Raw genomic sequence first — 15898 nt, forward strand, 5'->3', positions numbered from 1 at the left:
TATGAACATATCTTGTATTGTTTTCATCTTTTAAATTAATCACTGGGACATTATTACAAGCTTTATACAAGTGATGGCTATTAACTTCATTTTTAAAGCTTTAACAATAATAATACATAGTAATATTTATTTTTTACATACTCTATCCCGGGCACTGTACTAAACATTGTACATATACTATCTCATATTGAGAGGTGACAGCGTGCTGGCAGTCCTCGCAGCCCTCGCTCACTCTCAGCGCCTCCTCTGCCTGGGCTCCCACTTTGGCGGCACTTGAGGAGCCCTTCAGCCCGCCACTGCACTGTGGGAGCCCCCTCCTGGGCTGGCCAAGGCCGCAGCCGGCTCCCTCAGCTTGCGAGGAGGTGTGGAGGGAGAGGCGCGGGCGGGAACGGGGGCTGCGCACGGTGCTTGCGGGCCAGCACGAGTTCCGGGTGGGCGTGGGCTCTGCGGACCCTGCACACAGAGAGGCCGGCAGGCCCCACCGGCCCGGGCAGTGAGGGGCTTAGCACCTGGGCCAGCAGCTGCTGTGCTCAATTTCTCGCCTGGCCTTAGCTGCCTTCACGCAGGGCATGGCTCGGGATCTGTAGCCGGCCATGCCTGCGCCTCCCCAACCGTCCGTGGGCTCCTGTGCAGCCCCAGCCTCCCCGAGGAGCGCAGCCCCCTGCTCCACGGCGCCCAGTCCCATCGACCACCCAAGGGCTGAGGAGTGTGGGCGCACGGCGCTGGACTGGCAGGCAGCTCCACCTGCAGCCCCGATGGGGGACCCACTGGGCGAAGCCAGCTGGGCACCTGAGTCTGGTGGGGACTGGAGAACCTTTATGTCTAGCTAAGGGATTGTAATTACACCAATCGGCACTCTGTATCTAGCTCAAGGTTTGCAAACACACCAATCTGCACCCTGTGTCTAGCTCAGGGTTTGTGAATGCACCAATGGACACTCTATCTAGCTACTCTGGTGGGGCCTTGGGGAACCTTTATGTCTAGCTCAGGGATTGTAAATACACCAATCGGCACTCTGTATCTAGCTCAAGGTTTGTAAACACACCAATCAGCACCCTGTGTCTAGCTCAGGGTTTGTGAATGCACCAATCGACACTCTGTATCTAGCTACTCCAGTGGGGACTTGGAGAACCTTTGTGTCCACAGTCTGTATCTAGCTAATCTGGTGGGGAGGTGGAGAACCTTTGTGTCTAGCTCAGGGATTGTAAACGCACCAATCAGCGCCCTGTCAAAACAGACCAATCAGCAGGATGTGGGTGGGGCCAGATAAGAGAATAAAAGCAGGCTGCCCGAGCCAGCAGTGGCAACCCGCTTCGGTCCCCTTCCACACTGTGGAAGCTTCCTTCTTTCTCTCTTTGCAATAAGTCTTGCTGCTGCTCACTCTTTGGGTCCACACTTCCTTTATGAGCTGTAACACTCACCGCGAAGGTCTGCAGCTTCACTCCTGAGCCAGCGAGACCACAAACCCACCAGAAGGAAGAAACTCCGAACACATCTGAACATCAGAAGGAACAAACTCCGGACGCGCGGCCTTTAAGAACTGTAACACTCACGGCGAGGGTCTGCAGCTTCATTCTTGAAGTCAGTGAGACCAAGAACCCACCAATTCCGGACACGATATGTGAGGTAAGTACTTTAAAAATACTATTAGAGGTGAGGAAGCTAAGGCTTAAATCTCTGGTGTAACATGCTAGGAATGAAATGGTGAACTTAGGCATTTGTATTTGCTTTTCTGATTCCAAGGCCTGGTGTCCTAACAATATTCTGTACTATACTTGGAGAGACCCTAGTTTGATTGATTTATAGACAGGCCAGGTTGGCTAAACCTGCCATAGCATGAATTGTTTGTCTATGTGTTTATATATTGTGCATGGGTGTGTAGGTGGTATTAATATGTATCTATATTTTAAACACTTATAAGTAATTAAATAAGTTTTTCCTGCTTGCAGATTGTCTGTCCTTATTGAAGCTAGAGTAAGCCAGGTTGAAGGACAGAAGATTATCAATAATTAACACCATTAACTTTATGAGAACTGGGATGCCAGTTTTAGAGGCCAACTCCAATATGGACTTTCCAGTGTAAAAAAAAGTAAAGCACAGATTCCATGCCTCTAACTTAGAGTATTTTGCCAAATGCAAGAGAAAAAAAATAGCTCCTTACTTTAAAAGAAAGTTTCTATTTTAAGTGGTCTTTGTGAAATTCCTCATTACAATTGTTTTTTGTTTGTTTGTTTCTGTATCTGAGAAGGGCTGATTGCAATCTCAGAGAGCGGGTGTGGGTGAAAAGATGGTACACACAATCTAACATTCTTTCCAGGTTAATTTTGTTCTCCGTCTCTTACCCACTTCACTGAAGTGATTAACTGAAAGAGCTTTCAAGTCAAAGGAGAACCTATTACAAAGTCCCTTGGAGGTTTAGGGGGATGAGTTCATGGGCTGTGGGCTTGGAATGTTCCAGGAACAGTGAGAAGGCTATGATGTGTAGAGTGCAGAGGGCACAGGGAGGGCAACTGCAGACAAAGCTGGAGAGTCTGGCAGGATGGCTTCTGTATGGGACTGCAGCCATGCCAGGAGTCACAATACAGAGCTGATGAGGAGGCCTTGAGTCACAAAGGGTGGGGGACTTCCATGTGGTCTGGAATTCAGCGTCTATTAGTTTATCCCCAGGGAATCAAAAGGGAATGATTTGGACCTGAGTTTCTAGCAGTTTTGTGAGTGGTGTTTAGAAGGTCAGAGGAGTGTTGTTTTGTTATTTTACAGGGACATGCCTGTATTCCTGACTGGTCTGGCAGGATATCTTGAATGTCATTTATGAACACGTGCACAGGGATACTGTAAATCTTATATGCAAAACACAGCCTCTATTCAGAGAGCTTTTCCTGGACGTATAAACCATCAGTGCTAACAGCACTGAATTGAACAAGTCCTGCTTAAGTAGGAACTAGTTGAGCTGCCTTTATTTGGTTTTCCAAGGTATCAAAATAAAGTTCTTCAAACAGGAATGGCTACTAAATAGCATTTAAAGGCTCCGTATTTTATGTTTCAAATCGACAAACATTTATAAAAGTAGCTGCTGGAGATGCAGAGATAAATATGACAGGATTCCTGCCCTTGGAGAGTCCACAGTTTAACAATGAGAGAGAGAGGTGGGCAAACAGTTATTCTACAATAAAGCATGGTAGCTTCTCCAGTAGGAGTATGATTCCACTCTTTCTATGGGGGCCACAGGTTGTTGATGCTTTTTAACCTGTGAAATGTGTGAGTTGTAGTCGATGATGATAATACTAATAGCTGTCATTATCAGGAATTATGCTAGATGTTTTCTCAAATTATACAAAACAGCAACCTTGAACTTGTCTTAGTCTCCTCCCTCTGTGCCACGTCTAACAGTCATTAAAGTTAATATTTTCATTGCTTTAACATTTGTAACTCTCTCCATCTCTGATGCTGCTATAGCCTTATTTCAGACTTTCATGATCTTTAAATGCCACATTGCAATACTCATCTATCGTGTGTTTTCCTGGCTGTAATCTCTACCAATTTAACATGTTATTGCTCTCAGAGTAATCTTCCCAGAGTAGAAATTTGATCGTGACACTCCTTGATTTAAAACCTTTTATTTCTCATTGTTATAGACCTTGGTAGGGAATACCAAGTCTGGACCCAGTTTGTATAAAGCACCTTGTCTCTGGCCACACCCTTTCTCACTCTTATATAATTCATCCTTGCTCAGTCGCTTACATTTCCCCTTACATGGTGATATAGTTTGTCTGTCACCTCCAAAGCTCGTGTAGAAATGTATCCCCAGTGTTGGAGGGTGAGCCTAGTGGGAGGTGTTTGGATCATGGGGGCAATCCCTCATGAATGGCTTGGTGCCCTCCCTGTGGTAATGAGTACAAGATCTTATTGTTTAAAAGAGACTAGCATCTCCACCTCTCTCTCTTCCTCCCTCTCTCACCATGTGACACAACTGACTCCCCCTTTGCCTTCTGCCATGATTGTAAGTTTCCTGAGGCCCTCACCAGAAGTGGGTGCTGGCACCATACTTCCTGCACAGCCCAAAGAACCATGAGCCAAAATTTAAACCTTTTTTCTTTACATATTATGCAGTCTCAGACACTGCCTTATAGCAACGCAAATGGACTAACACAGGAAATTGATACTAAGGAGTGAGGTGTGGTTATAAAGATAACTGAAAATGTGGAAGCAGCTTTGGAACTGGGTAATAGGCACATATTAGAAGAGTTCAGAGAACTCAGAAGAAGACAGGAAAATGAAGGAAAGTTTGGACCTTCCTAGAGGCTTAAGTTGTTGTGACTAAAATGCCAATAGAAATATGGACAATGAAGACCAGGTTAATGAAGTCTCAAATAGAAATGAGGAAGTTATTGGGAATTAGAGTAAAGATCACCCATGTTATGCCCTAGAAAAGAACTTGGCTGCACTGTGTCCATGCCGTAGGGATCTGCGGAAGGTTGAACTTAAGAGTGATGACCTAGGATATCTGGCAGAAAGTATTTCTAAGCAACTAAGTGTTCAAGAAGTGGTATGGCTACTTCTAACAGCCTGTGATCAGATACGGGAGCAAAGAAATGACTTAATGTTAGAACTTACATTTAAACAGGAAGCAGAGCATAAACGTTTGGAAAATTTGCAGCCTGGCCATGTAGTAGAGAAGGAAAGAGCATTTTCAGGTGAGGAATTCAAGAGGACTTTGGAGCAACCACTTGCCAGAGATATTTGCGTGACTAAAAGGGAGCCAAGTGCTAATAGTTAAGACAGTGGGAAAAAGACCTCAAAGGCATTTCAGAAGTCTTCAGGGAAGCCCCTCCCATCACAGACCCCGAGGCCTAGAATGGAAGAATGGTTTCAAAGGTCAATCCCAGGCAGCTACTGCCCTGTATGGCCTTGGGACACTGTTCCCTGTATCCTGGATGCTCTGACTCCAGCCAGAACTCAAAGGGTCACAGGTACAGCTCAGACTGTGGCTTCAGAGGGTGCAAGCTGTAAGCCTTGGTGGCATCCATGTGGTGGTAAACCTGCAGATGTGTGAAATGCAAGAGTGAAGGAAACCTGGCAGCTCCCATCTAGATTTCAAAGAATGTGTAGGAATGCCTGGATGCCCAGGAAGAAGCCTGCTGCATGGGCAGAGCCCCAACAGAAAGCCTTTACTAGGGAAGCACCAAGGGGAAATGTAGGGTTAAATCCGCCACACAGACTCCCCACTGGGATACTGCCCAGTGGAGCTGTGGGAATAGAACCACCACCCTCCAGACCCCAGAATAGTAGAGCCATCAGTAGCTTGCACCCTGAGCCTGGAAATGGTGCAGGCCTTCAACTCCAACCTGTGAGAGCAGCCACAGAGGCCACACCCTACAAAGCCACAGGGGTAGAGATGCCCAAGGCCTTGGGAGCCCATTCCTTGCACCAGTGTGCCCTGGATGCAGGACTTGGAGTCACAGGAAATTATGTTGGAGCTTTAAGGTTTAATGTTTGCCCTGCCGGGTTTCGGACATGTGTGGGGCCTGTTGCTCTTTCTTTTGGCCTATTTTTGCCTTTTGGAATGGAAACGTTTGCCCAATGCCTATACCACCATTGTTTCTTGGAAGTAAATAACTTGGTTTTGATTTTATAGGCTCATAGGTGGAAGGAAAGTGCCTTGAGTCTCAGATGAGATTTGGACTTTTGAGTTAATGCCGAAATGAGTTAAGACTTTTGAGGAATATTGGGAAAGGATGATTGTATTTTGCAATGTGAGAAGGACATGAGATTTGAGAGACCAGCAGTAGAATGATATAGTTTAGATATTTGTCCTTTCCAGATCTCATGTTGAAATGTAATCCCCTGGTGTGAGGTGTTCTGGTCATGGGGCAGATCCCTCATGAATGGCTTGGTGCCCTCCCTGCAATAATGAGTTCATGCAAGATCTGGTTGTTTAAAAGAGACTGGCACATCCACCTCTGTCTCTTTACTCTGTTGCTCACCATGTGACACATTGGCTCCCCCTTGCCTTCTGCCATGATTGTAAGCTTCCTGAGGCCCTAACCAGAAGCAAATGCCAGCATGCTTCCTGTACAGCGGACAAAACCATGAGCCCAAATTTAAACCTCTTTTCTTCATAGATTGCCCAGTCTCAGATATTCCTTTTAGCAACACAGACTAACACATGGTATATTATTTCACTTTCTTTTTTTTTTTCTTTTGAGACGGAGTCTCTCTCTGTCACCAGGCTGGAGTGCCATGGCACGATCTTGGCTCACTGCAACCTCCGACTCCCTGGTTCAAGCTATTCTCCTGCCTCAGCCTCCCGAGTAGCTAGGATTACAGGCATGTGCCACCATGCCCAGCTAATTTTTGTATTTTTAGTAGAGATTGGGTTTTACCCTGTTGGCCAGGATGGTCTTGATCTCCTGACCTTGTGATCCACCCGCCTCAGCCTCCCAAAGTGCGGGGATTACAGGCGTGAGCCACCATGTCCAGCCGGTTGCTATAACTTATTATATCATACTTTCATGTTTGGATCAGATTACTGGTGCATTTATCAGAAATGCCCATCCCACCTCCTTGCCCGCTGCCATGATTCACCTGGGAAGCACCTCAGCTTTCAATATCTAGCTCAAGAGTCCCTTCTTGTATGTGGCCTTTCGAAGGTGAATAAAAATGTAACTGTGAATAAATAATGTCTGCTAATATCAAAGTAGACTTCAGAATAAGGAATATTACCAGAGATAAATATGGATGTTAAATAAAGATAAATAGTTCAATTGACCAAGATACATAACAAATGTGAAATCCTAGATATGAATAAACCTAACAAATGACCTTCAAAATACGTGAAGATTGACAGAATTGAAAGGATAACTATAAATTCATAATCATAGGCAGAACGTTTAATACTCTGCTTTCAGAACTGATGGAAAAAGAGTAGAAAGGAAGTCAGTAGAGATATGTAGAAGACTTGGCATGTATACCTATGTAACAAATCTGCATGTTCTGCACATGTATCCCAGAACTTAAAGTAAAATTTAAAAAGAGAAACAAATAAACAAAAAACAAAACCACTATGAACCAACTGTACCTAATTGAAACTTTTTACTTTTTTAGAGATAGGATCTCATCCTGTTGCCCGGGCTGGAATGCAGTGGTGTGATCATAGCTCACTATAACTTCAAACTCCTGGGCTCAAGGAATCCTTCTGCCTCGGCCTCCCAAGTAGCTGGGACTACAGGTGTGTGCCACCAAGATGGGCTAATTTTTAAAAACTGTAGAGATAAGGCCTAGCTTTGTTGCCAAGGTTGGTCTTGAACTCTTGGCTTTAAGCAATCCTCCTGCCTTGACCTCTCAAACTGCTGGGATTACAGGTACAAGCTGCCTCATCAGCCCTGATTGAAAATTTTAAAATAGTCCATCAACAAGAGCAGAATACACATTTTCAAGTGCACAAGGAACACATACCAAGATAGACCACATTCTGGGCTGTAAAACAAACTTTAACAAATTTAAAAGAACTGAAGTCATACAAAGTATGTTCTCTGATCACAAAAAAATTAGACTAGAAATTATTGGCCAGGTGCGGTGGCTCACGCCTGTAATCCCAGCCCTTTGGGAGGCCAAGGCGGGTGGATCGTGAGGTCAGGAGTTTAAGACCAGCCTGGCTAAGATGGTGAAACCCTGTCTCTACTAAAAATACAAAAAACTAGCTGGGTGTGGTGGTGGTCGCCTGTAATCCCGGCTACTTGGGAAGCTGAGGCAGAGAATTGGTTGAACCTGGGAGGTGGAGGTTGCAGTGAGCCAAGATTGCACCACTGCACTCCAGCCTTGGTGACAGAGCCAGACTCTGTCTCAAAAAAAAAAGAAAAAAAAAGAAAAAGAAATTATTTACCGAAAGGTACCTGAAACATCCACCCAGATTTTGGAAACTAAGTAACACATTTCTAAATAATTCATGGGTTAAAGGGAAATTAGATTAAATTTTGAACTAAAGAAAAATGGAAGTTCAACATATGAAAATTTGTAGGGTGAAACTACAGCAGTGCTTAGAGGAAAATTTATATCATTACATAAATATATTTTACAAAAAATAAAGGTCTCAAATTAGTGATACAAGTTTCTATCTTAAAAAATTAGAAAATAAAGAGCAAATAAGTCCAAAGCAAGCAAAAGAATGCAAGAGAACGAGAACAACCAAAAATAATTTTGAAATTGAACAAAGTTAAAGGACTTCTTATTACCTGATTTCAATATCTACCATACATGTTGTAACTGGCTGGGCACGGTGGCTCACGCCTGTAATCCCAGCACTTTGGGAGGCCAAGGCGAGCGGATCACTTGCAGTCAGGAGTTCAGAACCAGCCTGGCCAACTTGGTGAAACCCCGTGTCTACTAAAAATAGAAAAATTAGCCAGGCATGGTGGTGATGCCTGTAATCCCAGCTACTTGGCAGGCTGAGGCAGGAGAATCACTTAAGCCTGGGAGGTGGAGGTTGCAGTGAGCCGAGATCACACCACTGCACTCCAGCCTGGGTGACAGAGCGAGACTCCATCTCAAAAAACAAAAACAAAAACGTTATAGTAACCAAGACAGTATAGTATTCACAAAAGAATAGACACATAGGCCTGGTGCAGTGGTTCATGCCTTTAATCCAGGCACTTTGGGAGGCCGAGGCAGCAGAATCACCTTGAGGCCAGGAGTTTGAGACCAGTGTGGACAATATAAAGAGATCCTGTCTTTACAAAAATTAGCTGGGCATAGTGGTGCATGCCTGCAGCCCAGTTACTTGGGAGGCTGAGGTGGGAGGATCACTTGAGCCCAGGAATTTGAAGCTGCAGTGAGCCACGATCACACCACTATACTCCAGCCTGGGTGACAGAGTAAGACCTTGTCTCTCAGAAAAAGAAAAAAAAGACACGTAAATAAATGGAACACAACAGAGAGTCTAGAAATGTACTCACTTTTGTGGCCAAGTAATTTTTGACAAAGGTGCAAAGAAAATTCAATGGAGAAAGGATAGTCTTTTCAAAAAATGGTGCTGGAATGATTGGGCATCCACATGCAGGAAAATAAACCTCAACTTATACCTGATGCCTTACATGAAAAATTAACTCAAAAAGAATGTTACCTAAGTATTAAAATTATGAAACCTTTAGAACAAAGCATAAGAAATAATCTTTATGACCTTGTGTTAGGCAAAGATTCCTTGCATATAACACAGAAGCACTATTTATTCAAGAAAAAAATGGATAAATTGCACTTCTTTCAAATTAAAAATGTTTGCTCTGCAAAAGACAGTGTAAAAAAAATGGACAAGCCACAGATTGAGAGAAAATGGTTGCAAATCACGTATTTTGACAAAAGTACATAAAAGACTCTTAAGACTCAACAAGAAGAAACAAACAACTGAATTGAACAATGGGCAATTTGAACACTTTACCAAAGAAGATAAATGCATGGCAAAAAGAACATGAAAAAATACTCAGCATTGTTAGTCATTAGGGAAATGTAGATTTAAAAATCACACTGATTTATTTCTCTGCACACCTATTAGGATGGCTAAAAAACAAACACACAAAAAGTGACAATAACAAGAGCTAGCAAGGATGCATGATAACTAAGACTGTTTTTGTTTTTTCAGATTTTTTTTCTGCAAACACCATGGTGACTTACAGAACTTTACATGCTGATGATGGAAATAAAAAAAAAAAATGGCACAACCACAACAGAAAAGTTTAGGAGTTCCCTAATTTCAGTCCCAGGTGTTTACCCAAGAGAAATGAAAAACATGCTCACACAAAAATATGTATGTGGATTTCTGAACATTAAATTATAAAGATGAATAAATTTATAGGGACTTTATTCATAATCACTCAAAACTGAAAATATTCCAAATAGCGAATAGATAAATAAACTGGTGAATAGATAAGCAAATTGTGGTATGTCCATACAATGGCATACTTTTGAGGAACAAAAAAGGAACAAGCTACTCATACATGCAAATACATGAATTTATCAAATGAATTATGCCAAATGAAAGAAACCAGATTTAAAAAGCTATATTCTGTATGATTCCTTTATATGACATTCTGAAAAATTCAGAACTATAGGGATAGAAAACAGATCAGTGATTCCCTGTGGCTGTTCGTTGGGGGAGGAGATTTTTACTACAATGGGATTTAAGAAAACTTTTGGGGTGACGGATATTGGGGTGATTGGAGCACTTATTATACCAAGGTATGCATTTGCCAAAAGTTACGGAATTGTGTACTTAAATGGAGTGAATTTCCACCTCATACCTGTTAGGATTCCCACTATCCAACAACAACATCATCATCATCAACAACAACAACCACAACAAACCCCGAAAACAGCAAGTGGATATGGAGAAATTGGATCCCTGGTGCACTGTTGGTGGGAACACAGAATGGAGCAGCTGCTATGGAAAACAGTATGGAGATTCCTAAAAAATTAAAAATATAATTACCGTATAATCTCATAACCCCACTTCTGGGTAGATATCCAAAAGAATTAAAAGCAGGATCTCGAAGACATCTTTGCATACTCATGTTCTTTGCAGCATTACTTATAACAACCAAGAGGTGGAAGCAACCTGAATGTCCACGGACTGATGAATGGATGCAGAAAATGTGGTATATACATATGATGGACTATTATTCAGCCTTAGAAAGAAAGAAGTCTTGTCACATGCTACAACTTAGATGAACCTTGAGGACATTATACAAAGTGAAATAAGCTAGTCATAAAAAAGACAAATATTGCAGGATTCTACTTGTATGAGGTAAGTAGAATGGTGGTCGAAGGGGTTAGGGGAGGGGAAATGGGGAGTTGTTCAATGGATATAGTGTTTCTGTTTTTCGAGACAAAAAAGTTCTAGAGATCTGTTGTACAAGAATGTAAGTATAGTTAACATTACTGGCCTGTACAGTTAAAACCAGTTAAGATAGTAAGTTTTATGGTATGTATGTTTTCACCACAATTTTCTGAAAAGGTGGTGAATTTTACTGTATATAAATTATATTCCAACAAACCTTTTTGAAAAAAATGACCAAAATTCTTGATTTTATTTTAGTTTCACACTTTATAATTCTTCAAATCAAAAGGTGGAGTTTATGTTTCCGCTCCTAGATGCAGTCTGAGTGATATGAATTGATTTGGCCAACAGAATGTACAGTAGTAATGATATGCTAATCCTAAGCCTAGGCCTCAAGAGAACTTGTCTATTTCCACTCTATTGGATTTCTGAGCCTGCCACGTTAAGAAGCCAGACTAGCTTGCTGGAAGGTGAGAGAGTTAAAGCTCTGCCATCCTGGTTGCCACACAGGCAGTCAGCCCATACCTGAAGCTGAACTACCTTAATGGCTGACAATTGACTGTGAACACATGAGGGAGGCCCTCTGAGATCAGGGGAACTGTGCAGGGCAGCCCGAACTTCTGACCCACAGAGTCACGAGCTACATAAATGATTGTTGTATTACGCTGCTACATTATGTGGTGGTTTGTTAGGTATTGGTAGCTACCAAGAGGAAGGTTTCATAGATGAGATGACATTTGAATTTTTTTTTTTTTTAATTTGAGACAGAGTCTCACTCTGTCCTCAATCTGGAGTGCAGGGGCGCGATCTCGGCTCACTGCAACCTCCACCTCCTGGGTTCAAGTGATTCTCCGGTCTCAGCCTCCTGAGCAGCTGGGATTACAGGCATGCACCACCACACCTGGCTAACTTTTGTATTTTTGTAGAGACGGGGGTTTCACCATGTCGGCCAGGCTGGTTTCGAACTCCTGACCTCAAGTGATCTGCCCACCTCGGCCTCCCAAAGTGCTGGGATTACAGGCATGAACCACGGTGCCCGGCCTGGATTGTATTTTGAAGGAGGAATAGGAGTTTACTTTTTCTTTTCATGTTATTTTATCATTTTTAAAGCTTTTTTTTTTTTTCAAGGCAGGGGAATACCTGTATCTGTGTCCTATCTATTCTATCTATACCTAGTCTATGTTATCTGCGGCCACATGACCTCACAATGGTTGCAAAGACATCCAGGTTACTCCTTCTCTTAAGCCATTGAGAGAAGGCATAGGATGATTCGAAATAAAGTACAGAGCTCCTGCCCTAAGAGCTTACAGTCTATCTGGAAAGATGCCACCTGTGTCTAGGAAATACCAGGAAAAGAAAAAAAAAAGTATGAGAATTGGTGTTCTCTAGTCTAAAGGGTACAAAAGCAAACAACTGCTAGAACTTTATTCCTTGTACCACCCTTTGGTATTCAACAGCACAATGCCTGATTTTGTGATTTAACTTTTCCTGTTTTGATGCAGTGCCACCACGCTGGGATTTTGTAATTATGAGCTTCAAAAGCAGAGACAACATCTTCTATTTCTGTGTCTCTTCCTACGGTGAATAATATAGTCCTTGCCGTTTCAATGTTAACAAAAGAAAAAGAAAAATGCTGCAATAGCTGAGAGGGTTTAGAGTAAATGGGGTTTGGAGAGGGTCAGGTATTTTCCACAGCCAAACCAGAGTGGATGTTGTCCCTTTAACTGTGGTGTCCTGGCTGAAGGCCAAAACTTAATTGTTGATGACCCTTCCTTTTCTTTTTTTTTTTTTTTTTTTGAGATGGAGTCTCACTCCATCCCACAGGCTGGAGTGCAATGGTGTGATCTCGGCTCACTGAAACCTCCGCCTCCCAAGTTCAAGCAATTCTCCTGAGCCTCCTGAGTAGCTGGGACTACAGGCACATACCACCATGCCTGGCTAATTTTTGTATTTTTAGTAGAGACACGGTTTCACCATGTTGATCAGGCTGGTCTCGAACTCCTGACCTCGTGATCCGCCCTCCTTGGCCTCCCAAAGTGTTGAGATTATAAGCGTGAGCCACCATGCCTAGCCTGACCCTTCCTTTTCTGCTAGCCACTGTTATGTACAGTGGGTTCACAAAAAAGTTCATTAATGTCCTTAAGAAGTCAGATGGGATGGCTCTGGTGGCTCAGTGCCCACAGACCAGTGAAAGACAGAATGTCCGGGCTGTACTGTAGGTGGCTGACACCCCATCTTCTTGGTCACCTCCTGGAGGCCACACTTTATGTATCTGGATTCTGTTTCTTTTTAAAATTATCCTATTTTATTAATTTATTAATTTTAAATTTTTGTAGGTACATAGCAGGTGTGTATATATTTATGGGGTACATGAGATGTTTTGATACAGGTATGCAATGTGAAATAACCACATCATGGAGAATGTGGTGGTATCCATCCCTTCGAGCATTTATCCTTTGTGTCATGAGCAATGCAATTACATTATTTTAAAATATACAATGAAGTCATTATTGCCTATAGTCACCCCGTTGTGCTATCAAATAGTAGGTGTTATTCATTATTTCTAAGTAGCTTTTTTTGTCCCCATTAACCATCCTCACCACCTCCCCCACCCTCCCACAACACTTCTCAGTCTCTGGTAACCATCTTCTACTCTCCATCTCCCTGAGTTCAATTGTTTTGATTTTTAGATCCCACAAATAAATGAGAACATGTGATGTTTGTCTTTCTGTGTCTGGCTTATTTCACTTAACATAATGACCTCCAGTTCCATCCATGTTGTTGCAAATGACAGGATGTTATTCTTTTTTATGGCCGAATAGTACTCTGCTGTGTAGATGTTCCACATTTTCTTTATCCATTCATCTATTGATGGACACTTACGTTGCTTCCATATCTTAGGTATTGTAAACAGTGGTGCAGCAAATATGGGAGTGTAAATGTATTTTTGATGTACTTATTTCCTTTCTTTGGTGTGTATACCCAGCAGTGGGATTGCTGGGTCATATGGTAGCCTGGATTCTGTTTCTTATTTGCCAGTGGATGTTTTAAAGTATACATCCTATTGCCCTGGGTCAACTTTCTCAAGGACGTCCCCTCAGTCTTCTTCATTTTTACATATATGTTCGTTATTTCTAAAAGTGTTAAAATTATAGAAAAGTATAAAAAAGAAAATAAAAATTATGTTTTCCAACAACTCAGAAATAGTCACTTTCAACGCTTTGATATTTATTTGTTGTATATCTGTGGTGTGTATTTCAGTGTGTATAAATTTCATTCTGTTTAAATTGTGTTTTTTTCCCAATCAACAGTATACCATAAACATTTTCACATCTTTTTATGTCAATCTGATTTCACCATAGTATTTGAACACTTGTCTGGAACTTCATTGTATACCATGATTTTTAATAAATAATCCATTTTTGTTGACCATTTTGATTATTTCTAGGCTTTGATTATTATCAACTATGCTTCTATAATGTCCTTATACACAAATTTGGGGGCACATATTTGATTTTGGCTTGGTGTATATCATAAAAATGGATTTTCTGGTGGGGCGCAGTGGCTTACACCTGTAATCCCAGCACTTTGGGAGGCCAAGGGGGGGGGGGGGTGGATCATGAGGTTAGGAGTTCAAGACCATCCTGGCCAATATGGTGAAACCCCATCTCTACTAAAAAGTATAAAAATTAGCCGGGTGTGGTGGTGCACGCCTGTAATTCCAGCTACTCAGGAGGCTGAGGCAGGAGAATCGCTTGAACCCAGGAGGCGGACGTTGCAGTGAGCCGAGATAGTGCCACTGCACTCCAGCCTGGGCGACAGAGTGAGACTCTATTTCAAAAAAAAAAAAAACTGGATTTTCTGGGCCAAAGGGTATGCATACAAGGCTTTTGCTTTGTGTTTGTGATGTTGACCTCTTGACATGTGATACCAGTGTATAGTAGTATTATGTAAGTTATTTTCCACCTCTTTCAGAAAAACCGTTTTGTTATCTATTGATACCTTTGTTAATTAGTCTCAAAGACTTTTAATGTTGTCTATAGTGTTTTTCATGTATTGAGTGCAAAAAGCAGGAAATAGAAAATGAAGAATCAGCCAAGAGCCTTGTTTGTTTGTTTAGTTTGGTTTGGTTTTCTTTATGCTTTTACTGTAGGTATGTCTGGAAAAATCAAATTAAATGGAATGAGCTTGACTCATGAGGAGGCCCCTTTCATTTTCCTGAAGTGAATTAATACAGCACCCACCGATCCTGACATTAGTTATTTCAGAAGCACACTAAGAACTGACCGCACTTCTCAGTGTCACCAAACTATTCTTATCTGTCAAAGTTTCATTTCAAATACTTCTGTAAGGTCTAGGTGTACCCTGCTGGTGTTTGTGATGTCCTACATTACTCTTGATCTACTTTTCAACTATGAAACAAGGGAAAAATTGGAGGTCCAGAGCTCAGGATTCAGATATTATTACCTCTGCTACTCACAGCAGAGCAAGTAACTTAGCCTGTGTGGAACTTCATTTTTCTTTCTTTTTTTTCTTTTTTTTTTTTTTTTTTTTAGACAGAGTCTTGCTCTGTCACCCAGGCTGGAGTGCAGTGGCACGATCTCGGCTCACTGCAACCTCTGCCTCCCAGGTTCAAACAATTCTCCTGCCTCAGCCTCCAGAGTAGCTGGGGTTACAGGTGCACGCCAGCAAGCACAGCTAAATTTTGTATTTTTAGTAGAGATGGGGTTTTGCCATGTTGGCCAGGCTGGTCTCAAACTCCTGACCTCAGGTGATCCACTCCCAAAGTGCTGGGATTATAGGCGTGAGCCACTGTGCCAGGCCCACTGTTTTTGTTTTTTTTTTTCGTGATGACAAATTTAAAGTCATCTCATAGGAATAGAAAATAGCTTTTTAGTAGAAGCTCTTGGAATTTAAATTGAGACTGAATGGAAAGATGAAAGAAAATAAACTTATTAACATTTAATGAGAACCTTCAAAGAACTAGGCATAGTACCAAATGGTTTTATATTTTTAAACCTCATTTATTCCTCTCAAAACACCTGGGAAGGAGATATTTTTGCCATTTCACAG

General features: G+C 42.0%; 1 long non-coding RNA gene across 1 annotated transcript; it reads left to right on the forward strand.

The window, feature by feature from the left end:
- The first annotated feature begins 10413 nt into the window (after window positions 1-10413).
- Window positions 10414-14257, forward strand: LOC124902134 (uncharacterized). The gene is made up of 2 exons (XR_007061440.1): window positions 10414-10792; window positions 12328-14257. It is a non-coding gene; the product is annotated as an uncharacterized LOC124902134 (long non-coding RNA).

This window comes from Homo sapiens, chromosome 9, assembly GCF_000001405.40.
Source record: "Homo sapiens chromosome 9, GRCh38.p14 Primary Assembly".
NCBI classification, from domain to species: domain Eukaryota; kingdom Metazoa; phylum Chordata; class Mammalia; order Primates; family Hominidae; genus Homo; species Homo sapiens.